The 27,233-nt window shown below is 42.1% G+C and overlaps 1 protein-coding gene and 1 long non-coding RNA gene across 13 annotated transcripts in view, besides 5 other annotated features; one reads left to right on the top strand and one right to left on the bottom strand.

The window, feature by feature from the left end:
* The window catches only part of ATP8B1 (ATPase phospholipid transporting 8B1), a 156,890-nt gene that overhangs the window by 65,624 nt on the left and 64,033 nt on the right, over positions 1–27,233 (bottom strand). For 6 of the 12 annotated variants that reach the window (XM_047437547.1, NM_005603.6, XM_047437543.1 and 3 more), the window contains exon 2: positions 19,578–19,780. In XM_047437547.1, the coding sequence (XP_047293503.1) occupies positions 19,578–19,758 (181 nt within the window). In that variant the 5' untranslated portion in view covers positions 19,759–19,780. Of the gene's footprint in view, positions 1–19,577; positions 19,784–27,233 lie in introns of all 12 variants that reach the window. The other 6 variants (NM_001374386.1, XM_011526023.4, NM_001374385.1 and 3 more) reach the window with 1 other exon arrangement.
* Positions 1,106–1,608: an enhancer, noted in NCBI's record as "H3K27ac-H3K4me1 hESC enhancer chr18:55380387-55380889 (GRCh37/hg19 assembly coordinates)". NCBI's record gives its function as "activates a minimal SCP1, AML or CMV promoter by ChIP-STARR-seq in naive H9 embryonic stem cells {active_cell/tissue: H9 hESC(naive)}" and the evidence as "EXISTENCE:reporter gene assay evidence [ECO:0000049][PMID:30033119]".
* Positions 6,911–7,479: an enhancer, noted in NCBI's record as "H3K27ac-H3K4me1 hESC enhancer chr18:55386192-55386760 (GRCh37/hg19 assembly coordinates)". NCBI's record gives its function as "activates a minimal SCP1, AML or CMV promoter by ChIP-STARR-seq in primed H9 embryonic stem cells {active_cell/tissue: H9 hESC(primed)}" and the evidence as "EXISTENCE:reporter gene assay evidence [ECO:0000049][PMID:30033119]".
* Positions 7,480–8,048: an enhancer, noted in NCBI's record as "H3K27ac-H3K4me1 hESC enhancer chr18:55386761-55387329 (GRCh37/hg19 assembly coordinates)". NCBI's record gives its function as "activates a minimal SCP1, AML or CMV promoter by ChIP-STARR-seq in naive H9 embryonic stem cells {active_cell/tissue: H9 hESC(naive)}" and the evidence as "EXISTENCE:reporter gene assay evidence [ECO:0000049][PMID:30033119]".
* LOC105372141 (uncharacterized) lies at positions 19,783–26,625 on the top strand. Its single transcript, XR_935524.3, has 4 exons — positions 19,783–19,974; positions 21,977–22,047; positions 23,102–23,543; positions 25,713–26,625. It is a non-coding gene; the product is annotated as an uncharacterized LOC105372141 (long non-coding RNA).
* Positions 25,274–25,775: an enhancer, noted in NCBI's record as "H3K27ac hESC enhancer chr18:55404555-55405056 (GRCh37/hg19 assembly coordinates)". NCBI's record gives its function as "activates a minimal SCP1, AML or CMV promoter by ChIP-STARR-seq in naive H9 embryonic stem cells {active_cell/tissue: H9 hESC(naive)}" and the evidence as "EXISTENCE:reporter gene assay evidence [ECO:0000049][PMID:30033119]".
* Positions 25,776–26,275: an enhancer, noted in NCBI's record as "H3K27ac hESC enhancer chr18:55405057-55405556 (GRCh37/hg19 assembly coordinates)". NCBI's record gives its function as "activates a minimal SCP1, AML or CMV promoter by ChIP-STARR-seq in naive H9 embryonic stem cells {active_cell/tissue: H9 hESC(naive)}" and the evidence as "EXISTENCE:reporter gene assay evidence [ECO:0000049][PMID:30033119]".

Genomic DNA, 27,233 nt, shown 5'->3' on the forward strand with positions numbered 1-27,233 from the left:
TATATATATATATATATATGGCGAATATGGAGAGGAGCAAGGTGGCCAAATAGAAGCTCGCACGAATTGTAATTCCCATAGGAACATCAAATTTAACAACTATCTACAAACAAAAAAGCACCTTTATAAAAACCAAAAAATCAGGCACTCACAGTACCTGGTTTTAACTTTATATTGCTGAAAAAGGACTGAAGAGGGTAGGAAAAATAGTCTTGAATTGCCAATGCCACCCCTCCCCCAGCCCCAGCACCAGATGTGTGGCATGGAGAGAAAATCTGTACGCTTGGGAGAGGGACAGTGCAGCGATTGTGAGGCTTTGCACTGAACTCAGTGCTGCCCTGTTACAGACAGTAGAAAGCAAAAGCAGGCTGAACTCAGCTGATGCCAGACCATAGAGGGAGCATTTAGACCAGCCCTAGCCAGAGGGGAATCTCCTGTACCTTGGTCAGAACTTGAATTCTGGCAAACCTCGTCACCGAGGGCCAAAGTGCCCTGGGGCTCTAAATAAAATTGAAAGGCAGTGTAGGCCCCATGAACTACAACTCTTAGGCAAGTCCTAGTGCTGAGCTGGACTTGGAGCCAGTTGACTTAGCAGGCACATGACCTACTGAGACACCAGCCAGAGCAGCTAGTGGAATGCTTGCTCGGCCCCTCCCCGCCAACCTCACTGCTCCAAAAGAGACCTCTTCCTTCTGCTTGAGGAGATGAGAGGGAGGAGTAAAGAGAACTTTGTCTTGCATCTTGGATACCAGCTCAGCCACAGTAGGATAGGGCACCAGGCAGGGTCATGAGGCTGTTTCAGGCCCTAGTTCCCAGACAACATTTCTAGACAATCCTGGATCAGAAGGGAGCCTGCTGCCTTGCAGGGCAAGGACCCAGCTCTGGCAGGATCCATCACCTGCTGATGAAAGAGCCCTTGAGCCCTGAATAAACAGTAGTGATACCCAGTTAATATCCAAGGCTGTGGGCCTTAATTGAGGCTAAGATATTCTGGCTTTAGTTGTGACCCAGCACATTCCCAGCTGTGGTGGCCATGGTGAGAGATTCCTTCCGCTTGAGAAAAGCAGAAGGAAAATTAAAGGGTGCTTTGTCTTGCTCTTGATCTTTCTCTTTCTTTCTTTCTTTCTTTCTTTCTTTCTTTCTTTCTTTCCTTCCTTCCTTCCTTCCTTCCTTCCTTCCTTCCTTCCTTCCTTCTTTCTTTCTTTCTTTCTTTCTCTTTCTTTCTTTCTTTTTTCTTTCTCTCTCTCTCTCTTTCTTTCTTTTCAGAGATAGAGTCTTGCTATTTTGCCCAGGCTGGAGTGCAATGGTGTCATCTCAGCTCACTGCAACCTGTGCCTCCTGGGTTCAAGCAATTCTCATGCCTCAGCCTCCTGAGTAGCTGGGATTACAGGCATGTACCACCATGCCCAGCTAATTTTTAAAAATTTTTTATTTTATTTTATTTTATTTTATTTTATTTGAGATGGTTTCTCACTCTGTCACCCAGGATGGAGTGCAGTGGTGCGATCTCAGCTCACTGCAACCTCCACCTACCGGGTTCAAGCAATTCTCCTGCCTCAGCCTCCCGAGTAGCTGGGATTAGAGGTGTGTGCCACCATGCTTGGCTAATTTTGTATTTTTAGTAGAGATGGGGTTGCACCATGTTGGTCAGGCCAGTCTTGAACTCCTGACCTCAAGTGTTCCACCCACCTTGACCTCCCAACATGCTGGGATTACAGGAGTGAGCCACCGCGCCCGGCCTAATTTTTTTTATTTTTAGTAGAGACAGGGTTTCGCCATGTTGGCCAGGCTGGTCTCTAACTCCTGGCCTCAAGTGATCTGCCCGCCTCAGCCTCCCAAAGTGCTGGGATTACAGGCATGAGACACTGCGCCCAGCCTGCCTTGCACTTGCTACCACCTTGGCCACAGTGGGGTAAAGCAACAAATAGAGACCCCTCTTGGGGTCCCTGAGTCTAGGCCTTAGGTTCTTGGATGACATCTCTGGACTTGCTTTTTGCCAGAGGGGAGCTCACTGCCCTGAAGGGTGACTGAAAGGATTTACCACAAGCTGACTGAAGAGGCCATAGGCCTTTACCGAACATCAGCAGTAACCTGGCAGCACTCCTCATAGGCCTGTGGTGGTGGTGGACATGGGGAGAGGCCCCTGAGCCTGTGGAAAGGGCAGAATAGTGGAAAGGACTGGCTAATGGTTTGAGTGCCAGCTCAGCCACAGTAGAATAGATAGGACACCAAGCAGATTTCTAAGGTTTTGGACTCCAGTCCATGGCTCCCAGATGGCATCTCTGGATCTGGCTGCAGCCTGGGGGAACTCACTGGCTTGAAGCTAGCCTGGCTGGCTTCACAACAGGGCATTGAGGGAACATAGGCAGCCAGATCATGGTTACAGTGGGCCATGGCGAGACCCAGTGTGGTGCCAGCTTCATGTCTGACCCAGTACATTCTCAGTGGTGATGGCCATATTGGTGCTTGTATCTCCACCCCCCTAGCTCTGGGTGGCCCAGAACAGAGGGAGAGAGAGAAGGAGAAAGGGAGAGGAGGGAGGGGGGAAGGGGGAGAGAGAAAGAGCAAAAAAAGAGAGAGAGAGAGATTGATTCTGTTTGGGAGAAAGTAAGCAACAAGAACAAGAGTGTGGGCTTGATAATCCAGATAATTCTTCCAGATAGTCTGCAAGAAATGCAGCGTTATTGAGCTTGGGATGCCCCCTAATGCAGATATGGGTTCAATCATAATATCCAAGTTCTTTTGAATACCTGGAAATCCTTCCCAAGAAGGATGGGTATAAACAAGCCCAGACTGTGAGAGCTACAATAAATATCTAACTCTTCAATGCCCAGACATTGATGAACATCCACAAGCATCAAGAACATCCAGGAAAACATGACTTCACCAAACAAACTAAATAAGACACCAGGGGCCAAACCTGCAGAAACAAAACTATATGACCTTTCAGACAGAAAATTCAAAATTGCCATTTTGAGGAAACTCAAAGAAATTCAAGATAGCACAGAGAAGACATTCAGAACTCTATCAGATAAACTTAACAAAGAGGAAACTCAAAGAAATTCAAGACAACACAGAAAAAGTTTAGAATTCTATCAGATAAATGTAACAGAGATTGAAATAATTAAAAAGAGTCAAGCTGAAATTCCGGAGTTGAAAAATGCAACCGACATACTGAAGAATGCATCAGAGACTTTTAATACCAGGATTGAATAAGTGGAACAAAGAATTAGTGAGCTGGAAGGTAAGCTATTGGAAAATATGGTCAGAGGAGACAGAAGAAAAAAGAATAAAAAAGAAAGAAGTACACCTACAAGATCTAGAAAATAGACTTAAAAAAGCAAATCTAAGAGTTATTGGCATTAAAGTGGAGGTAGAGAAAGAGACAGGGGTAGAAAGTTTATTCAAAGGATAATAACAGAGAACTTCCCAAACCTAGAGGAAGATATCAATATCCAAGAACAAGAAGGTTGTAGAACACCAAGCAGATTAACCCAAAGAAGACTACCTCAGGCATTTAGTAATCAAATTCCTAAAAGTCAAGGATAAAAGGAAGGATCCTAAAAGCAGCAAAAGAAAAGAAACAAATAAAATACAATGGCACTCCAATACGTCTGGCAGCAGACTTTTCAGTGGAAACCTTATAGGCCAGGAGAGAGTGGCATGACATATTTAAAGTGCTGAAGGAAAATATATTCAAGCATAAAGGAGAAATGAAGACCTTCCCAGACAAACAAAAGCTGAGGGATTTCATCAACACTAGACCTGTCCTACAGGAAATGCTAAACAGAGTACATTAATCAGAAAGTAAACGATGTTAGTGAGCAATAAGAAATCACCTGAAGGCACAAAACTCACTGGTAACAGTTAAGTATACAGAAAAACCCAGAATAGTATAACACTGTGACTGTGACATGTAAACTACTCTTCAGTAAAATGACTAAAAGATTAACTGATAAAAAATAGTGACTAGAACAACTTTTCAAGACATAGTACAATAAGATATAAATAGAAACAATAAAAAGTTAAAAAGCAGAGGGAGGAAGTTAAAGTGTAGAGTTTATTAGTTTTCTTTTAGCTTAAAATAATGAGTTATTAGACAGTACTTACAAGCCTCATGGTAACCTCAAATCAAAAAACATACAATGGATATATACAAAATAAAAAGCAGGAAATTAAAGCACACCACAAGAGAAAACCACCTTCACTAAAAGGCAGAAGGGAAGGGAGGAAAGAAGGAAGAGAAGACCACAAAGCCACCGGAAAACATAACAAAATGGCAAGAGTAAGTCCTTACTTATCAATATAACATCGAATGTAAATGGGCTAAACTGTCAATCAAAAGATATAGAGTGGCTGAATAGATTTAAAAAAAAAAAAGACCCAGTGATCTGTTGCCTACAACAGACACTCCACCTGGACTGAAAATGAAGGGATTGAAGAAGATATTCCATGCCAATGGAAAGCAAAAAAGAACAGGATACCTATATTTATATCAGACAAAATAGATTTCAAGACAAAACTATAAGAAGAGACAAAGTCACTATATAATGATAAAGAGGTCAGTTCAGCAAGAGGATATAATAGTTTTAAATATTTATCCACCTTACACTGGAGCACCCAGATATATAAAGCAAATATTACTAGAGCTAAAGAGAGTGATAGACCCCAGTAAAATAATAGCTGGAGACATCAACACTACACTTTCAGCACTGGACAGATCTTCCAGACAGAAAATCAACAAAGAAACATGGGACTTAATCTGCACTATAGACCAAATAGATATTTATAAAATATTTCATACAACAGCTGTAGAATACACATTCTTTTCCTCAGCACGTGGATCATTCTCAAAGACAGAACGTATATTAAGTCACAGAACGAGTCTTAAAACATTCAAATAAATTGAAATAATATCAAACATCTGACTGACCACAATGAGTAAAACTAGAAATCAATAATAAGAGGAATTTTGGAAACTATACAAAAACATGGAAATTAAACAATATGTTCCTAAATGACCAGTGGGTCAATGAAGAAATTAAACAGGAAACTGAAAAATTTCTTCAAACAAATGATAATGGAAACATGATAAACCAAAACCTGTGGGACACAGTGAAAGCAGTACTAGGAGGGAAGTTTATAGCTATACGTGCCTACATCAAAAAATAAGAAAAACTTCAAACAACCTGATGATGCATCTAAAAGAACTAGAGCCAGGTGCAGTGGCTCACGCCTGTAATCCCAACACTTTGGGAGGCCGAGGTGGGCAGATCATGAGGTCAGGAGATCGAGACCATCCTGGCTAACACACTGAAACCCCATTGCTACTAAAAAAATACAAAAAACTTAGGTGGGCACAGTGGCGGGCACCTGTAGTCCCAGCTGCTGGGGAGGCTGAGGCAGGAGAATGGCATGAACCCGGGAGGCGGAGCTTGCAGTAAGCCGAGATCACACCACTGCACTCCAACCTGGGTAACAGAGCAAGACTCTGTCTCAAAAAAAAAAAAAAAAAAAAAAAAAAAAAAAAAAAAAAAAAGAACTAGAAAAGCAAGAGCAAACCAAACCCAAAGTTACTAGAAGAAAAGAAATAATAAAGATCAAAGCAGAGATAAATGACATTGAAACAAAGAAAACAATACAAAAGATCAATGAAACAAAAACGGTTTTTTGTTTTGGTTTGGTTTGGTTTGGTTTTTTTTTGGAGACAGAGTCTCACTCTGTTGCCCAGGCTGGAGTGCAGTGGTGCGATCTTGGCTCACTGCAACCTCCGCCTCCCAGGTTCAAGCAATTCTTGTGCCTCAGTCTCCTGAGTAGCTAGGAGTAGCCAGGACTATAGGCATGTGCCACCACACCTGGCTAATTTTTGTAGTTTTAGTAGAGACAGGGTTCCACTGTGTTGGCCAGGCTGGTCTCAAACTCCTGCCCTCAAGTGATCCACCTACCTCAGCCTCCCAAAGTGCTGGGATTACAGGTGTGAGCCACTGTGCCTGGCCAAGAAGTTAGTTTCTTGAAAAGATAAACAAAATTGACAAACCTTTAGCTGGACTAACTAAAAAAAAAAAAAAAAAAAAAAAGCAAAAAAAGAGAGACCCAAATAAATAAAATCAGAGCTGAAAAAGAAGACATTACAACTGTTACCACAGAAATTCAAAGATCATTAGTGGCTACTATGAGCAACTATTTGCCAATAAATTGGAAAATGTAGAAAAAAATGGATAAATTCCTAGATACATAAAACCTACCAAGATTGAATCATAAAGAAATCCAAAACCCAAACAGATGAATAACAAGTAATGAGATCAAAGCCATAATAAAAAGTCTCTCAGCAAAGAAAATCCCAGGACCCAATGGCTTCACTACTGAATACTACCAAGCATTTAAAGAAGAACTAATACCAATCCTACTCAATCTATTCTAAAATAAACAGGAGGAAATACTTCCAAACTCATTCTACAAGGCCAGTATTACCCTGATGCCAAAACCAGACAAAGACACATCAAAAAACAAAAACAAAAACAAAAAGACCTATAGGCCAATATCATTGATGAATGTTGATGCAAAAATCCTCAACAAAATACTAGAAAATTGAATTCAACAACACATTAAAAAGATCATTCATCATGATCAAGTGGGATTTATCCCAGAAATGCAAAGATTGTTCAACATACACAAATCAATTAATGTGATATGTCATGTCAACAGAATGAAGGGCAAAAACCATATGATCATTTCAATTGATGCTGAAAAAGAATTTGATACAATTCAACATCACTTCATGATAAAAAAAATCCTCAAAAAACTGGGTACAGAACAACATACCTCAGTATAATAAAAGCCATATATGACAGACCCATAGCTAGTATCAAACTGAATGGGGAAAAACTAAAAGCCTTTCCTCTTAGATCTGGAACATGTCAAGGATGCCTACTTTCACCAGAAGTCCTAGCTAGAGCAATCGGACAAGAGAAAGAAATAAACGGCATCCAAATTGGAAAGGAATAAGTCAAATTATCCTTGTTTGCGGATGATATGATCTCATATTTGGAAAAACCTAAAGACTCCACCAAAAAACTATCAGAACTGGTAAACAAATTCTGTAAGGTTGCAAGATACAAAATCAACATACAGAAATCAGTAGCCTTTCTGTATGCCAACAGCAAACAATCTGAAAAAGAAATCAAGAAAATAATCCCATTGGGAGGAGCCAAGATGGCCGAATAGGAACAGCTCCGGTCTACAGCTCCCAGCGTGAGAGACACAGAAGACCGGTGATTTCTCCATTTCCATCTGAGGTACCGGGTTCATCTCACTAGGGAGTGCCAGACAGTGGGCGCAGGCCAGTGGGTGCGCGCACTGTGCGCGAGCCGAAGCAAGGCGAGGCATTGCCTCACCTGGGAAGCGCAAGGGGTCAGGGAGTTCCCTTTCCGAGTCAAAGAAAGGGGTGACGGACGCACCTGGAAAATCGGGTCACTCCCACCCGAATATTGCGCTTTTCAGACCGGCTTGAAAAACGGCGCACCTAGAGACTATATCCCACACCTGGCTCGGAGGGTCCTACGCCCACGGAATCTCACTGATTGCTAGCACAGCAGTCTGAGATCAAACTGCAAGGCGGCAGCGAGGCTGGGGGAGAGGTGCCCGCCATTGCCCAGGCTTGCTTAGGTAAACAAAGCAGCCGGGAAGCTCGAACTGGGTGGAGCCCACCACAGCTCAGAGGCCTGCCTGCCACTGTAGGCTCCACCTCTGGGGGCAGGGTACAGACAGCAGTAACCTCTGCAGACTTAAATGTCCCTGTCTGACAGCTTTGAAGAGAGCAGTGGTTCTCCCAGCACGCAGCTGGAGATCTGAGAACCAACAGACTGCCTCTTCAAGTGGGTCCCTGACCCCTGACCCCCGAGCAGCCTAACTGGGAGGCACCCCCCAGCAGGGGCACACTGACACCTCACACGGCAGGGTATTCCAACAGACCTGCAGCTGAGGGTCCTGTCTGTTAGAAGGAAAACTAACAAACAGAAAGGACATCCACACAGAAAACCCATCTGTACATCACCATCATCAAAGACCAAAAGTAGATAAAACCACAAAGATGGGGAAAAAACAGAACAGAAAAACTGGAAACTCTAAAACGCAGAGCGTCTCTCCTCCTCCAAAGGAACGCAGTTCCTCACCAGCAACAGAACAAAGCTGGATGGAGAATGACTTTGACGAGCTGAGAGAAGAAGGCTTCAGACGATCAAATTACTCTGAGCTACGGGAGGACATTCAAACCAAAGGCAAAGAAGTTGAAAACTTTGAAAAAAATTTAGAAGAATGTATAACTAGAATAACCAATACAGAGAAGTGCTTAAAGGAGCTGATGGAGCTGAAAACCAAGGCTCGAGAACTACGTGAAGAATGCAGAAGCCTCAGGAGCCGATGCGATCAACTGGAAGAAAGGGTATCAGCAATGGAAGATGAAATGAATGAAATGAAGCGAGAAGGGAACTTTAGAGAAAAAAGAATAAAAAGAAATGAGCAAAGCCTCCAAGAAATATGGGACTATGTGAAAAGACCAAATCTACGTCTGATTGGTGTACCTGAAAGTGATGGGGAGAATGGAACCAAGTTGGAAAACACTCTGCAGGATATTATCCAGGAGAACTTCCCCAATCTAGCAAGGCAGGCCAACGTTCAGATTCAGGAAATACAGAGAACGCCACAAAGATACTCCTCGAGAAGAGCAACTCCAAGACACATAATTGTCAGATTCACCAAAGTTGAAATGAAAGAAAAAATGTTAAGGGCACCCAGAGAGAAAGGTTGGGTTACCCTCAAAGGGAAGCCCATCAGACTAACAGCGGATCTCTCGGCAGAAACCCTACAAGCCAGAAGAGAGTGGGGGCCAGTATTCAACATTCTTAAAGAAAAGAATTTTCAACCCAGAATTTCATATCCAGCCAAACTAAGCTTCATAAGTGAAGGAGAAATCAAATACTTTACAGACAAGCAAATGCTGAGAGATTTTGTCACCACCAGGCCTGCCCTAAAAGAGCTCCTGAAGGAAGCACTAAACATGGAAAGGAACAACCGGTACCAGCCGCTGCAAAATCATGCCAAAATGTAAAGACCATTGAGACTAGGAAGAAACTGCATCAACTAACGAGCAAAATCACCAGCTAACATCATAATGACAGGATCAAATTCACACATAACAATATTCACTTTAAATGTAAATGGACTAAATTCTCCAATTAAAAGACACAGACTGGCAAATTGGATAAAGAGTCAAGACCCATCAGTGTGCTGTATTCAGGAAACCCATCTCACGTGCAGAGACACACACAGGCTCAAAATAAAAGGATGGAGGAAGATCTACCAAGCAAATGGAAAACAAAAAAAGGCAGGGGTTGCAATCCTAGTCTCTGATAAAACAGACTTTAAACCAACAAAGATCAAAAGAGACAAAGAAGGCCATTACATAATGGTAAAGGGATCAATTCGACAAGAAGAGCTAACTCTCCTAAATATATATGCACCCAATACAGGAGCACCCAGATTCATAAAGCAAATCCTGAGTGACCTACAAAGAGACTTAGACTCCCACACATTAATAATGGGAGACTTTAACACCCCACTGTCAACATTAGACAGATCAACGAGACAGAAAGTCAACAAGGATACCCAGGAATTGAACTCAGCTCTGCACCAAGCGGACCTAATAGACATCTACAGAACTCTCCACCCCAAATCAACAGAATATACATTTTTTTCAGCACCACACCACACCTATTCCAAAATTGACCACATAGTTGGAAGTAAAGCTCTCCTCAGCAAATGTAAAAGAACAGAAATTATAACAAACTATCTCTCAGACCACAGTGCAATCAAACTAGAACTCAGGATTAAGAATCTCACTCAAAGCCGCTCAACTACGTGGAAACTGAACAACCTGCTCCTGAATGACTACTGGGTACATAACGAAATGAAGGCAGAAATAAAGATGTTCTTTGAAACCAACGAGAACAAAGACACAACATACCAGAATCTCTGGGACGCATTCAAAGCAGTGTGTAGAGGGAAATTTATAGCACTAAATGCCCACAAGAGAAAGCAGGAAAGATCCAAAATTGACACCCTAACATCACAATTAAAAGAAGTAGAAAAGCAAGAGCAAACACATTCAAAAGTTAGCAGAAGGCAAGAAATAACTAAAATCAGAGCAGAACTGAAGGAAATAGAGACACAAAAAACCCTTCAAAAAATCAGTGAATCCAGGAGCTGGTTTTTTGAAAGGATCAACAAAATTGATAGACCGCTAGCAAGATTAATAAAGAAAAAAAGAGAGAAGAATCAAATAGACACAATAAAAAATGATAAAGGGGATATCACCACCGATCCCACAGAAATACAAACTACCATCAGAGAATACTACAAACACCTCTACGCAAATAAACTAGAAAATCTAGAAGAAATGGATAAATTCCTGGACACATACACTCTCCCAAGACTAAACCAGGAAGAAGTTGAATCTCTGAATAGACCAATAACAGGATCTGAAATTGTGGCAATAATCAATAGTTTACCAACCAAAAAGAGTCCAGGACCAGATGGATTCACAGCCGAATTCTACCAGAGGTACAAGGAGGAACTGGTACCATTCCTTCTGAAACTATTCCAATCAATAGAAAAAGAGGGAATCCTCCCTAACTCATTTTATGAGGCCAGCATCATTCTGATACCAAAGCCGGGCAGAGACACAACCAAAAAAGAGAATTTTAGACCAATATCCTTGATGAACATTGATGCAAAAATCCTCAATAAAATACTGGCAAACCGAATCCAGCAACACATCAAAAAGCTTATCCACCATGATCAAGTGGGCTTCATCCCTGGGATGCAAGGCTGGTTCAATATACGCAAATCGATAAATGTAATCCAGCATATAAACAGAGCCAAAGACAAAAACCACATGATTATCTCAATAGATGCAGAAAAAGCCTTTGACAAAATTCAACAACCCTTCATGCTAAAAACTCTCAGTAAATTAGGTATTGATGGGACGTATTTCAAAATAATAAGAGCTATCTATGACAAACCCACAGCCAATATCATACTGAATGGGGAAAAACTGGAAGCATTCCCTTTGAAAACTGGCACAAGTCAGGGATGCCCTCTCTCACCACTCCTATTCAACATAGTGTTGGAAGTTCTGGCCCGGGCAATTAGGCAGGAGAAGGAAATAAAGGGTATTCAGTTAGGAAAAGAGGAAGTCAAATTGTCTCTGTTTGCAGATGACATGATTGTATATCTAGAAAACCCCATTGTCTCAGCCCAAAATCTCCTTAAGCTGATAAGCAACTTCAGCAAAGTCTCAGGATACAAAATCAATGTACAAAAATCACAAGCATTCTTATACACCAACAACAGACAAACAGAGAGCCAAATCATGAGTGAACTCCCATTCACAATTGCTTCAAAGAGAATAAAATACCTAGGAATCCAACTTACAAGGGATGTGAAGGACCTCTTCAAGGAGAACTACAAACCACTGCTCAAGGAAATAAAAGAGGATACAAACAAATGGAAGAACATTCCATGCTCATGGGTAGGAAGAATCAATATCGTGAAAATGGCCATACTGCCCAAGGTAATTTACAGATTCAATGCCATCCCCATCAAGCTACCAATGACTTTCTTCACAGAATTGGAAAAAACTACTTTAAAGTTCATATGGAACCAAAAAAGAGCCCGGATTGCCAAGTCAATCCTAAGCCAAAAGAACAAAGCTGGAGGCATCACACTACCTGACTTCAAACTATACTACAAGGCTACAGTAACCAAAACAGCATGGTACTGGTACCAAAACAGAAATATAGATCAATGGAACAGAACAGAGCCCTCAGAAATAATGCCGCATACCTAGAACTATCTGACCTTTGACAAACCTGAGAAAAACAAGCAATGGGGAAAGGATTCCCTATTTAATAAATGGTGCTGGGAAAACTGGCTAGCCATATGTAGGAAACTGAAACTGGATCCCTTCCCTACACCTTATACAAAAATCAATTCAAGATGGATTAAAGATTTAAACGTTAGACCTAAAACCATAAAAACCCTAGAAGAAAACCTAGGCATTACCATTCAGGACATAGGCATGGGCAAGGACTTCATGTCCAAAACACCAAAAGCAATGGCAACAAAAGACAAAATTGACAAATGGGATCTAATTAAACTAAAGAGCTTCTGCACAGCAAAAGAAACTACCATCAGAGTGAACAGGCAACCTACAAAATGGGAGAAAATTTTCGCAACCTACTCATCTGACAAAGGGCTAATATCCAGAATCTACAATGAACTCAAACAAATTTACAAGAAAAAAACAAACAACCCCATCAAAAAGTGGGCGAAGGACATGAACAGACACTAATCAAAAGAAGACATTTATGCAGCCAAAAAACACATGAAAAAATGCTCATCATCACTGGCCATCAGAGAAATGCAAATCAAAACCACTGTGAGATACCATCTCACACCAGTTAGAATGGCAATCATTAAAAAGCCAGGAAACAACAGGTGCTGGAGAGGATGTGGAGAAATAGGAACACTTTTACACTGTTGGTGGGACTGTAAACTAGTTCAACCATTGTGGAAGTCAGTGTGGCGATTCCTCAGGGATCTAGAACTAGAAATACCATTTGACCCAGCCATCCCATTACTGGGTATACACCCAAATGACTATAAATCATGCTGCTATAAAGACACATGCACACGTATGTTTATTGCGGCATTATTCACAATAGCAAAGACTTGGAACCAACCCAAATGTCCAACAATGATAGACTGGATTAAGAAAATGTGGCACATATACACCATGGAATACTATGCAGCCATAAAAAAGGATGAGTTCATGTCCTTTGTAGGGACATGGATGAAATTGGAAATCATCATTCTCAGTAAACTATCGCAAGAACAAAAAACCAAACACCGCATATTCTCACTCATAGGTGGGAATTGAACAATGAGATCACATGGACACAGGAAGGGGAATATCACACTCTGGGGACTGTGGTGGGGTGGGGGGAGGGGGGAGGGATAGCATTGGGAGATATACCTAATGCTAGATGATGAGTTAGTGGGTGCAGCGCACCAGCATGGCACATGTATACATATGTAACTAACCTGCACAATGTGCACATGTACCCTAAAACTTAAAGTATAATAAAAAAAAAAGAAAAAAAATAATCCCATTTATAATAGCTATGAATAAAATAGCTAAGAATTAAGTTTACCAAAGAAGTAAAAGATCTCTGCAATCAAAACTATAAATTGATTGCAATGATGCAAGAAACTAAAGAGGACACCAGAAAAATGGAATGATATTCCATGCTCATGGATTGGAATATTGTTAAAATGTCCACACTGCCCAAAGCAATCTACAGATTCAATGCAATCTCTATGAAAATACCAATGACTGTCTTCACAGAAATAGAAAAAAAATCCTAAAATTTGTATGGGAACCACAGAAGACCCAGAAAAGCCACAGCTAATCTAAGCCAAAAGAACAGAACTGTAGGAATCACACTACCTGACTTCAAATTATATGACAGAGCTATAATAACCAAAACAACGTGGTATTGGCATAAAAACAGACACACAGATCAATGGAACAGAAAAGAGAACTCAGAGATAAATTCATACATCCTTAGTAAACTTGTTTTCAACAAAGGTGCCAAGAACATACATTGGGGAAAGGCAGTCTCTTCAATAAATGATGCAAGGAAAAACTGCATATTTATATGTAGATGAATGAAAGTAGACCCCATCTCTTGTCATATGCAAAAATTGAATCAAAATGGATTACAGACTTAAATCTAAGACCTCAAACTATGAAACTACTCCAAGAAAACCCTGGGGAAGTCTGAGCATGGTGGCTCACGCCTGTAATTCCAGCACTTTGGGAAGCCAAGGTGGGTGGATCACAAGGTCAAGAGATGGAGACCATCCTGGCCAACATGGTGAAACCCTGTCTCTACTAAAATACAAAAAGTTAGCCGAGCATGGTGGTACATACCTGTAGTCCCAGCTACTCGGGAGGCTGAGGCAAGGGAATTGCTTGAACTCAAGAAGTTGAGGTTGCAGTGAGCCAAGATTGTGCCACTGCACTTCAGCCTGGTGACAGAGCAAGACTCTGCCTCAAACAAAAACAAACAACAACAACAAAAAAACCACTTGGGAAACTCTCCAGGACACTAAACTGGGCAAAGATTTCTTGAGTAATACTTCACAAGCACAGGCAACCAAAGCAAAAACGGACAAATGAGATCACAAGTTAAAAAGCTTCTGTAAAGCAAAGGAAACAATCAACAAAGTAAAGAGACAACAGAATGGGAGAAAATATTCAGGCCACTGAATTCATTTTAAATGATAGATTCTTCCCCTTGCCTCATCCCAGAACCACTCTGTATCTTCAGGGGCTGGGTCCAGGCACCTAGAGAGTTTGTAAAAATTCCACAAGAGGTTCTGATGTACAGGCAGGACTGAGAACCCCCAGTTAGTGCAAAGGAGAGTGTCTTCCTATGGTGACTTCTATCATTAAAAATCTACTTCTGAACTTGGGCTGCAAAGTAGCAGGAAGAAAACCACCAGCTGAGTTAGGTTTCCATGAGCAAGAGATTCTTACCCAAGGTTCAATCATAAATTACATGACTTGAAAGCAAATTCTCTAAAATGAGCATGTTGCCCAAGATCTTAAAAATAAATAGAATAGGCCGGGCACAGTGGTTCATGCCTGTAATCCCAGCACTTTGGGAGGCCAGGGTGGGCGAATCACCTTAGGTCAGGAGTTCAAGACAAGCCTGGCCAACATGGCAAAATTCCGTCCTTACTAAAAATACAAAAATTAGCTGGGCGTGATGGCGGGCGCCGGTAATCCCAGCTACTCGGGAGGCTGAGGCAGGAGAATCACTTGAACCCGGGAGGCGGAGGTTGCAGTGAGCTGAGATCACGCCACTTCACTCCAGCCTGGGCAACAAGAGCGAGATTCTGTCAAATAAATAAATAAACAAATAAATAAAAAGAATAAAATAAAATGAGATGGCACAGTATCACCACCCTTCCCCATCAGTAATCACTCAGTGCAGGAATACCCCTCACCCTGCGGCTTTACAAGCATCAATTACTCTGGTGTTTTTAGGCTGTGGAGGTGGATGGTAATTTACAACCGATCAGAGAAAGAAAGAAAATAAGTAGCCAGAGTAGACTCCCATATGTGGTATGTGCCGAAAATGGAAAATTCATCTTATTAAGTGGAACAGCTCCCTCAGCACTTTTCACAGATTCCCTAGGATATCCTACGATTGATACGTTTCAATGAGCCATCTTTATCTGTGTTTTGGTTCCAACTAAATATTAATTCATAGATGCGCTAAAGACCCCACATTCTTAATTCCAGATTATTTTATGAAGATATCACTTTAAGGCCGGGTGTGGTAGCTCACGCCTATAATCCCAGCACTTTGGGAGGCTGAGGCTGGTGGATCACAAGTTCAGGAGATCGAGACCATCCTGGCCAACATGGTGAAACTCTGTCTCTACTAAAAATACAAAAATTAGCCAGGCGTGGTAGCATACGCCTGTAATCCCAGCTACTTGGGAGGCTGAGGCAGGAGAATCGCTTGAACCCAGGAGCGGGGTTGCAGTGAGCCGATATCGCGCCTCTGCTCTCCAGTCTGGGCGACAGAGAGAGACTCCATCTCAAAACAAAAACAAACAAACAAACAACAAGAAAACTCCAAAAATACAAAAACTAGTGTTTCCCAGAACACATGCTGAGAAGTGTGTTCATCAGGAAACGACAGAGCTCATCCCATAGCACTGAAAACATTCCCGCTCATTTCTGAGAATCTTTGCTGAATCTTTACACAAAGGGTAAAGTTACTCCACTCGAACCTGTGGGCTTATCTTTCTCCATGGCACATTCTAACAGCATGTTTGTGCCTGTCCTTCCTTCTCACAAAACACAATAAAGGTCCTTCTAGTGAAAAGTACTCTGAATGGGTCTCTCAAAGCACTTGTTTAACAGGAAAGCTTAGTTGGGCTAGAGGATTTCCTTTCTTTAAAAAAAAAAGAAAGCAACTTTCTGTGCTACAACCCTCATTAAAGAAACTAGCGCAGTTCAGGCTGCTTAGGCAGTGTTTTGCTAGAATGGGTGCTGGTCCCTGGTGTTAGTCTGGTGGTACCTCGCAGGGTGACTCATGTTCTGATGTCTTAAAGAACTGATTCTCTGAAGGAAATTATTCAGGATGTGAAATGTCAAGAAAGACAGATGATGATTAAAAAAAGAAAGAGAAGTCAGGGTGACACTGACCTTAACTGGGAAATTGCACAAATGAGAATATAGTGGGAAAGGAAAGAGGGATGAAGAGGGCAAAGAGAGGAAGGGAGGAAAGAAGGAGAGCAGACTGGCTGTGAGGGAGGCAGGGCACATGGGAAATGGGAGGAAAGAGGTCTGGCATTTACTGAACATCATCTGTGTGCTTGGGAAGGGCGCAGAGAGGTATTAGAATAAGAATTTTTGTAAAAAGTCACAGGCAAAGTCATTTGATATGGGTTTTGAGAAGCGAGAACCACCCAAATCCCCTAGGAATATAAATCACCCTTGGAAAACATGACTAAGATTCAAGACTGAGCATTTTTTTTTTTTTTTTGAGATGGAGTCTCACTTTGTCACCCAGGATGGCGTGTAGTGGTGGGATCTTGGTTCACTGCAACCTCCATTTCCCAGGTTCAAGCGATTCTCCTGCCTCAGCCTCCCGAGTAGCTGGGATTATAGGTGTGCACCACCATGCCGGGCTAATTTTTGTATTTTTAATAGAGATGGGGTTTCACTATGTTGGCCAGGCTGGTCTCGAACTCCTGACCTCAGGCGATTCAACTTCCTTGGCCTCCCAAAGTGCTGGGATTACAGGCATGAGTCGCCGCACCCGGCCAAGACTGAGCTCTTTTAATGCCCATATACCGAGGGTAGAAATCTACAAAACATATGACCTGCAAACTGAATGATCAGGAAAGGATCCTAACCACCAGAATGGGCAGGCAGAGTTGTAAAAAAACAGGGGATGAGAGTTTCCACCCACTACATGCGTCTCTGACATTTCTGCAGGCACCCAATCCCGGTCCCTTTGCTGTGTCTCGGACTACACGTCTGATGGCGTGCCACCAAGCACCAAGAGCAAAGTTGACCCTGGACCCCATGGAGCCAATTCTCCTGCCACCCCATCAGATATCTACATTTGGTAGAGATTCCAAAATTGTGATAGGAGACTAAGCAGTGCAATTAGCGGGGAAAGGAATGAGGAAGAAGCATGTTTTATTCACTGTTTGGGCAATCAACTAGAACTTCCTTGTAACTTGTCTGGCTGCTTCAGCTTTAGCTAGTTCACCAATATCCAGTCTGGACCTGTTATGACAGAGGCCACCTTCCTGTTCAGATTGGTGGGAATTCCATTTTCTTTCTTTCTTTTTTTTTTTTTTTTTTGAGTTGGAGTTTCACTCTTGTTGCCCAGGCTGGAGTGCAATGGCACCATCTCAGCTCACTGCCACCTCTGCCTGCCGGGTTCTAGTGATTCTCCTGCCTCAGCCTCCCAAATAGCTGGGACTACAGGCACTTGCCACCACGCCTGGCTAATTTTTGTATTTTTAGTAGAGACGGGGTTTCACCATGTTGGTCTGGCTGGTCTTGAACTCCTGACCTCAGGTGATCCACTCACCTCAGTCTCCCAAAGTGCTGGGATTGCAGGCGTGAGCCACTGTGCCCGGCAGGGAATTTCACTTTAATTTTGGTCAAGTATCATGAGTTTAGTACCTTCTGATTCAAGGCAGAAGGCACTTAAGCTCAATCCTCAACAGCTTGAAATCAAAACCAGAAACCCACTCTAAGAGGTAATCCATCTAAATGTTTGCTATGGAAAGGTAGCGGACACACAACATACAGGAGTCAATGGCCTCCCCACATTTGGGTGAGATGGGGCTCGCGGGGTGCATGCACTCCCCACACTGAGAATCTCCCCACAGGCAGATTCTGTGACCAGAACAGGAAGAATCATTGCAGAAATGGGATTTCATGCATATCACATCTTCTACAGGTTAAAATTATTAGAAAAAAATAGCTCATCCAGATAGCAGAACCCAAGAAAGAGAAACTAGAGGGGGGGTTTGGCATGGGGGAAAAAGAGGCTTCTAGAAAGCCTTCAAGGGCAGAATGGCAGTAACAGAGACCTCGGGAAAACCAGCTAAAATCCGAGGCTTCTCTGACTAAGGCTGCAGGGAGGCGTGTCTGGAGCGCTGAAACCAGAACACTATGATAATGATTTCTGTGAATGTGATGCTAAGGTTGTTCGGCTAGAATTTTAGGGAACACCATGGAGGAAATATTTTCAGCCTGATATCAAATCTGGGGTCCAGAGAGAAAAGTCTCAGCTTGCTCATGGAGAAGAGCTACAAGAGAAGCCCACATCTGTTTGCCAGGGTGGGAGAACCAGCAGGAGATGAAATAGAAAAGCCACAAAAGAAAAGGCATCATGGTAAAAGCAAGCCATGTTCTACTGCCTTCAGTGATGTACTGTCTGCGGTCACTTACACTCAACATTGGCAGAGACCACGTGGTCCACAAAGCCTAAAATGTTTACTTGCTGGCCCTTTACAGAAAAAGTTTGCTGGCCTTGGTCTAGACCCTGCCTCTGATGCTGGCCTGACCCTGGGCAGACCATATACATATATATATATATATATATATATATATATATACACACACACACACACACACATACACAAGGATGGTTATTTATATAACTCATACCGCCAATTTAACAATACTAATAGTTAACATCTAAGACTGATTGATATGTATCCTTTAAAAATTTCTGGGTGCAGTAACATGCAGATTCTTGCCCGCATAACTCCATTTTAAGAATATATACACTGGCTACGCATCGTAGCTCATGCCTGTAATTCCAGGAGTTTGAGAGGTTGAGGTGGGCAGATCCCTTGAGCTCAGGAGTTTGAGACGAGCCTGGGCAACATAGTGAAATACCATCTACACACACAAACACACACACAAATACAAAAATTAGTTGGACATACTGGTGCATGCCTGTAGTCCAGCTACTCAGGAGGCTGAGGTAGGAGGATCACTTGAGTCCAGGAGGTCAAGGCTGCAGTGAGCCGAGTTCACACCACTGGACTCCAGCTGGGGAGACACAGTGAGACCCTGCCTCAAAATATATATATATATATATATATATATATATATATATATATATATATATATATATATATATATATATACACACACTAACAAAGACCTTAATGTATTTTCTCTGCAGAACTTGTCAGATATGCTCTCCCAGCCCTTCTTACTAAGGACAATGGGTACTTGTCCAAGCCCATCCACCATTCTGTCAGTCGCATCCTAAGAAGAGATCAGAGAAGATTCTCTCCTAGACCACGCAAAATAGACCGATCATCTTTGGCACGTGTGGCCATGACCCACATGAGGATTTATAAGCGACCTAGTCACCGGGACTTCATGTGGTTACCTTTTCTGAATGGCTCCCGGTTCTCCTCTGCTTCCCTGTTGACTCGGTTTTGTTCTGGTTCAACAGCAGACCCCTGGTCATCAAGTTCATCTTCTGTTTCATCATCACTGTAGGGAACCACTTCGTCATTAGGCTGAGAATCCTCGTCAAATGTCGTTTCTGAGTCTCTTTCTGTACTCATTCTGCTGGCAAATTGGAACTACCTGCTTAAAAGGAAAGAGAAACCAGAGTGAATTATGACTCTTGCCCAGTTTTTGGTTGAATACTGCCTGCATGCTGCTACAATGCCCCTTTTACAGAACATTGTCTAACATGTAAATATTCTGGAATAGTACCCCCAAATTCAACTTGACATGAAGACAAGAACAAAACCATTCAGTACTGATTAAATGCTTGGGTAAGATTTTTTTAAAAAATATGGAGCTGCAAACCTTTTATTTTTAAACAAGGGTATATATATATATGTATGTGTATATATATATGTATATATGTATATATATGTGTATATGTATATATGTGTATATATGTATATATATGTATATATGTATATATGTGTATATATGTATATATGTGTATATATGTATATATGTGTATATATGTATATATGTGTATATATATGTATATATGTATATATGTGTATATATGTATATATGTGTATATATGTATATATATGTGTATATATGTGTGTATATATGTGTATATATGTGTGTATATATATGTATATATGTGTATATATATGTATATATATATTCAAGGCAATATTTCAAATTAGGGGGTCTCAATGAAATAAATTTAGTGGGTAACAATCAACATTAAAATAAAATGAAACAGGCTATAAAATATCAGATTACAGCACATATAATAAGTACTGCTTGATAAAATAGTTGTACACATTCACACATTTATTTGCATTGTGGGTGTTAGTGGAGTTGAATTTCTTTTTTTTCTTTTTTTGAGATAGAGTCTCCCTCTGTCACCCAGGCTGGAGTGCAATGGCACGATCTCGGCTCACTGTCACCTCCGCCTCCTGTGTTCAAGTGATTCTCCTGCCTCAACCTCCCAAGTAGCTGGGATTACAGGCACACACCACCACGCCCGGCTAATTTTTGTATTTTTAGTAGAGACGGGGTTTCACTGTGTTAGCCAGGATGGTCTCGAACTCCTGACCTCAAGTCATCCACCCGCCTCGGCTTCCCAAAGTGCTGGGATTACAGGCCCGCGCCCGGCCGGAGTTGAATTTCTTACTGTGGATTGCTGGCAAAGTTGACAAACCACTGCTCTAAGATATCTGGTTTCTGCTAACACTAACGTCCTGAGCCTTTGTTCTGATACAACATTTTTAATATAACCTTAGATCTTCCAAGTTTACTGACTTCCCAGGAACACTCCCTAGCCTTTCTATCTTCCTAACTACCACTGCCCACTCTGTATCTGGAATTTGTGTTTGAGCATCTACCGCATAAGATGACCCCATACAAGTGAGAAGAACAACCTTAGTTAGATTTATTTTAGGAAAATATTTACACAAATACCTCAGGTTACAGACACACAGCCTGGCATTTACATAAGCATCACAGTGCCGTGTAGTCAGTATTGTTAATGACAGCAGCTCGCATTTATTTTGTGTTAACTGCATGCCAAGCCTTGCACTAAGCACTTTATAGACATGTGCTCTTTGAAACTTCCCACACCACCATGGTGAATAACAGTATTATTGTTATTCCTACCCAGCAGAGGAGAAAAATCAAAACACTGGAGTGCTAAATAATTTGCACAATGATTATTAAAAATTTAAGGCAGCCACGCACGGTGGCTCACACCTGTAATCCCAGCACTTTGGGAGGCCGAGGTGGGCGGATCACGAGGTCAGGAGATCGAGACCATCCTGGCTAACACAGTGAAACCCCGTTTCTACTAAAAATATAAAAAATTAGCCAGACGTGGTAGCGGGCACCTGTAGTCCCAGCTGCTCGGGAGGCTGAGGCAGGAGAATGGCGTGAACCCGGGAGGCGGAGCTTGCAGTGAGCTGAGATTGCGCCACTGCACTCCAGCCCGGGCGACAGAGCGAGACTCCATCTCAAAAAAAAAAAAAAAAAAAAAAAATGTAAGGCAAAAACAACTGCTTCACAAGGAGAGGTCTATGCTCTATTTTTGTACTATGGTTTATGATATATTTTGAGTGAAAATTGCCTCAAGTAGAACTATGTAGCTGATTGCAAGTTTTGCACCAAATCTTAGATCTCTAAAATAATTTTTACATTCACAAATGGACACTTAGGAAATTTTCAAATATTTATATGAGGATTTTTACCAAGTATTATGTAAAACAGTAAAAGCCAAAAGCAAGCTGGGTTACAATTGTCGACTGTGTAAATAAATTGTGGCATCTCATATTATAGGATAATGTGCAACAATCTAGATGATCCAAAGAGTATTTGATGACATTGCATTAATGACCTTAAGTTAATAGGTAAGTTATAAAGCCATATGTATAGAATACACCCAGTTATTCACACACACACTTGTTCATTTTCCAAAATTTCAACAATTGACATACATTATTTTATTATTATTATCTTTTGAGACAGAGTATCGCTCTGTCACCCAGGCTAGAGTGCAGTGGTGCAATCTCGGCTCACTGCAACCTCTGCCTCCCAGATTCAAGCAATTCTCCTGCCTCAGCCTCCTGAGTAGCTGGGATTACAGGCATGTACCACCATGTCTGGCTAATTTTTGTATTTTTAGTAGAGATGGGGTTTCACCATGTTGGCCAGGCTGGGACATACATTATTTTAAGTGAGATGATGCATGCAAAATGCTCAACTCAGTACCTAGCCTGCAATAAGTATTCAATGAACATTAACTGTTAATTTTTCATATACTTCTTGGCGATTTGTATGTTTCCTTTTGAAAAATGTCTATTCATGTCCTTTGCCCACTTTTTAATGGTATTATTATTATTTTAAAATATTGCTGGCATTCATTATTACAAAGAACAACTTAGATTCTACTGCATGATGCTGTACTGTGGCACAGTTCTAAAGAGCCCTATAGTCATGGATGCAAAGTTCCTAGCACTACTGGTCCTCAGCACCTCAGGCCATTATCTTATGGCTTCACAGAATATTCATTCCCCAAATCCATAGTCTTTACCTCTGGCCTTAGCTTTTCAGTAGCAAGCACAAGCATTCCTGGTGAGAGACAGGGCTAGCTGGATTTCCTAGGCCGACTATGAATCCCTAAGTCTAGCTGGGAAGGTGACTGCATCCACCTTTAAACAGGAGGCTTGCAACTGAGCTCACACCTGACCAATCAGAGAGCTCACTAAATGCTAATTAGGCAAAAACAGGAGGTAAAGAAATAGCCAATCATCTATTGCCTGATGAACTCATCTATTGCCTGATGAGGGACAAGGATCGGGATATAAACCCAGGCATTGGAGCCAGCAAGGGCAACCCCCTTTGGGTCCCCTCCTTGTATGGGAGCTCTGTTTTCACTCTATTTCACTCTATTAAATCTTGCAGCTGCACCCTTCTGGTTACCGCTAGAACTGAGCTTTCGCTCGCCGTCCACCACTGCTGTTTTGCTGCCGTCGCAGACCCGCCGCTGACTTCCATCCCTCCAATCCAGCAGGGCGCCCGCTGTGCTCCTGATCCAGGGAAGCACCCGTTGCCACTCCTGATCGCGCTAAAGGCTTGCCATTGTTCCTGCATGGCTAAGTGCCTGGTTTCGTCCTAATCAAGCTGAACACTAGTCACTGGGTTCCACGGTTCTCTTCCGTGACCCACGACTTCTAATAGAGCTATAACACTCACCGCACGGCCCAAGATTCCATTCCTTGGAATCCGTGAGGCCAAGAACCCCAGGTCAGAGAACACGAGGCTTGCCACCATCTTGGAAGTGGCCTGCCGCCATTTTGGAAGTGGCCCACCACCATCTTGGGAGCTCTGGGAGCAAGGACCCCTGGTAACACTGGCAGTACTTATACTTTCATTGGTTATACTTATAATTCCCTGGTTATATTTATACTTTCCTGGCAGTACGTATACTTTCATGGTTTATACTATTTTAAAATTATTTTTTATTAAATGGAGCCAAATTTTTTAAAAGTCATCTTTTCCACTAAATTGGCATCACCATGTTAAATCTAAATTTCCCTACTAAGTCTTTATTTTACTTTATTTTATTTTACTTTAAGTTCTAGGATACATGTGCAGAACATGCAGGTTTGTTACATAGGTATACATGTGCCATGGTGGTTTGCTGCACCCATCAACCTGTCATCTAGGTTTTAAGCCCTGCATGCATTAGGTATTTGTCCTAATACTCTCCCATTCCTTGCCCCCCCCACCCCCACCCCCAACAGGCCCCAGTGTGTGATGTTCCCCTCCCTGTGTTCATGTGTTCTCATTGTTCAGCTCCTGCTTATGAGTGAGAACATGTGGTGTTTAGTTTTCTGTTCCTGTGTTAGTTTGCTGAGAAAGATGGCTTCCAGCTTCATCCATGTCCATGGAAAGACCACGATCTCATTCTTTTTTATGGCTGCAGGGATTATTTGTTTTTGAGTTGTTTGAGTTCCTTGTATATTTCTGGATACTAGTCCTTAGTTAGATGAATGGTTTGCAAATATTTTCTCCTATTCAGCAGGAAACACTGTTGATTGCTTCCCTTGCTGAGTAGAAGCTTTTTAGTTTAATATAGTCCTATTTGTCTATTTTTGTTGTTGTTGTTGCCTGTGCTTTTGAGGTCTTAGCCATAAAATCTTTGCCTAGACCAATGTCCTAAAACATTTTCCCTATGTTTTCTTCTAGTATAAAGTTTTACTAGTTTTTTTTTTTTTTTTTTTTTTTTGAGAGAAGGGTTTCACTCTGTCACTCAGGCTAGAGTGTAGTAGGACAATCATAGCTCATTGCAGCATTGAACTCTTGGGCTCAAGGAATCTTCCTACCTCAGCATCCCAAGTAACTGGGACTACCAGTGCATGCCACCATGCCTATTTTTTTTTTTTTTTTTTTGTAGCGATGGGATCTCACTGCATTGTCCAAACTGGTCTTGAATTCCTGGGTCAAGTGATCCTCCAGGCTTGGGCTCCCAAAGTGCTAGGATTATAGGTGTGGTCCCATTTAAGTCTTTAATCCATCTTGAGTTGACTTTTGTGTATGGTGAGAGACAGGGGCCCAGTTTCATTCTTTAGCATGTGGGGATTTATTTCTGGGTTCCCTATTCTGTTCCATTGGTTTATGTGTCTGTTTTTAGCCCATATTATGTTTTGGTTACTACAGCCTTGTTATATATATATGTATCAAGGTGACTGTGAAGGTACTATATGGAAACATTTTTTATTGTTGTAAAATATATGTACATAAAATTTACCATTTTAGCCATTTTGTTTTGTTTTTCTCATTGCAGCCTCCTGGGCTCAAGCAATTCTCCCACCTCAGCCTCCTGAGTAGTTGAGACTATAGGTATAAGCCACTACATCTGACTAATTTTTGTGTTTTTAGAAGAGACAGGGTTTTGCCATATTGCCTAGGCTGGTCTCAAACTTCTGGGCTCAAGTAATCTACCTGCCTCAGCCTCCCAAAGTGCTGGGATTACAAGCATGAGCCACCACGCCAGGCTTTGTTTCTCCCTACTTTTATTTTTTTTTTAATTTCTTAAAGCTGTACCATTGGAGAATTTTAACTTTTTGTTTGTTGGTTGGTTTTCTTTCTCTTATTATTGTTATTTTTTTTTTGCATCTCAGATGACACAAACCACTGTTTGTTTCCTGAGACATGGTTTCACTCTGCCACCGAGGCTGCAGTGCAGTGGCATGATCCTAGCTCACTACACTCTCAAATCTGAGGGCTCCAGCAATCCTCCTACCCTGCTCCCCAGCCTCCCTAGTAACTAGGACTAGAAGCATGAGCCACCATGCCTGGCTTTTTTTTTCTTTCTTTTCTTTCTTTCTTTTTTTTAAAGAGATAGGCTCTCCCTATGTTCCTCAGGCTGGTCTCAAACTCCGGGCCCCAAGCAATCCTCCCACCTCAGCTTCCTTTTAGCCCTTTTCAAGTGTAGGGTTCTGTGGCATTAAGTGCATTTATACAAACATTTTGTAAGTTATCCTTTTCATCATTGCTTCCAAACTGCCAGGCATCTGGATATTAAGACTGTCTCCAGCCCTTTGAGGTTGAGAGAGGAAGCAAGCACGGAGGAATGGATTTGACAACCCACATGTCCGTGACTCAAAGCAAGCAAGGCCTTGCACAACCAACTCGCCACCCACACAATCTGCACAGTCTCAGTGAGAAAGCAGGAGCAGGGAGCTCTCCGCTGAGAGTGAAGAAATGTCCTCAACTCGACTTCTCTGCAGTGTGCATGTGTGTGAAACACAGACACACACGGGAGGAATTTGGCTCTGTCATTTTAGTGTACCAAAGAAAAAAAAACAGGGAGAAATCACTTGTTTGAAGCCCTAAATGACATAAGGAAGATTTTCCCAGATCTAAATAATGATCCCTAAGGTCAGGTGCTGTGTATGGTATGGATTTGGAAACTTCATAATGTCTCTGACCACCACTCCAGGACACTGCAGACAGGTGTGCATTTACTCAGCATCCAGTAAACACCTGCAAGGTGCAGAGTACTACACTAGGCACAGGGAACAGAGCTACTGACTGACTGCCAGAGTTTCGAAGAATACAGATAAGTCAACTATTAAAGCTAGGAAACAGACCGGATGCGGTGGCTCACGCCTGTAATCCCAGCACTTTGGAAGACCGAGGCGGGTGGATCAACTGAGGTCAAGAGTTCAAGACCAGCCTGCCAACATGGTGAAACTCCGTCCCTATTAATAATACAAAAAAATTAGCTGGGCATGGTGGCACATGCCTGTAATCCCAGCTATTCGGGAGGCTGAGGCAGGAGAATTGCTTGAACCCAGGAGGCTGCAGTGAGCTGAGATCGCGCCATTGCACTCCAGCCTGGGCAACAAGAGCGAAACTCTGCCTCCAATAAATAAATAAATAAAATAAAATAAAATAAAATAAAGCCATAAAACAGTAAAGCCAGTCGTTTTTGCCTCAAATACTCCTCCAATTCATCACCTCCTCTCTATCTCCATGGCCACCATCATCTCTCCCTGGAAATGCTGCGAGATCCCTCTAACTAGACTTTCCACAATTAACTTCCACATGACCACCAAAGGCATGCCATTCTCCTGCTTACACCCTTCCTGGGTGTTATGGATTGAATTATGGCCCCCGAAGTCATATGTTGAAGCCATAACACCCCTCAATGTGACTACATGGAGAGAGGTCCTTTAAGGAGGTAGTTAAGGTTAAATAAGGTCATCAGATGGGGCCCTAATCCAATAGGACTTGTGTATTTTATTTTTATTATTTTTTAGACTCAGTTTCGCTCTGTTGCCCAGGCTAGAGTGCAGTGGCATGATCTCAGCTCACTGCAACCTCCACCTCCCTGCTTCAAGCGATTCTCCTGCCTCAGCCTCTCAAGTAGCTGGGATTACAGGTGCCCGCCATGACACTCAGCTAATTTTTTTGTATTTTCAGTAGAGACAGGGTTTCTCCTTGTTGGTCAGGCTGGTCTCGAACTTCTGACCTCAGGTGATCCGCTCACCTTGGCCTCCCAAAGTGCTAGGATTACAGGCATGAG

The sequence above is a fragment of the Homo sapiens genome, chromosome 18, assembly GCF_000001405.40.
Source record: "Homo sapiens chromosome 18, GRCh38.p14 Primary Assembly".
NCBI classification, from domain to species: domain Eukaryota; kingdom Metazoa; phylum Chordata; class Mammalia; order Primates; family Hominidae; genus Homo; species Homo sapiens.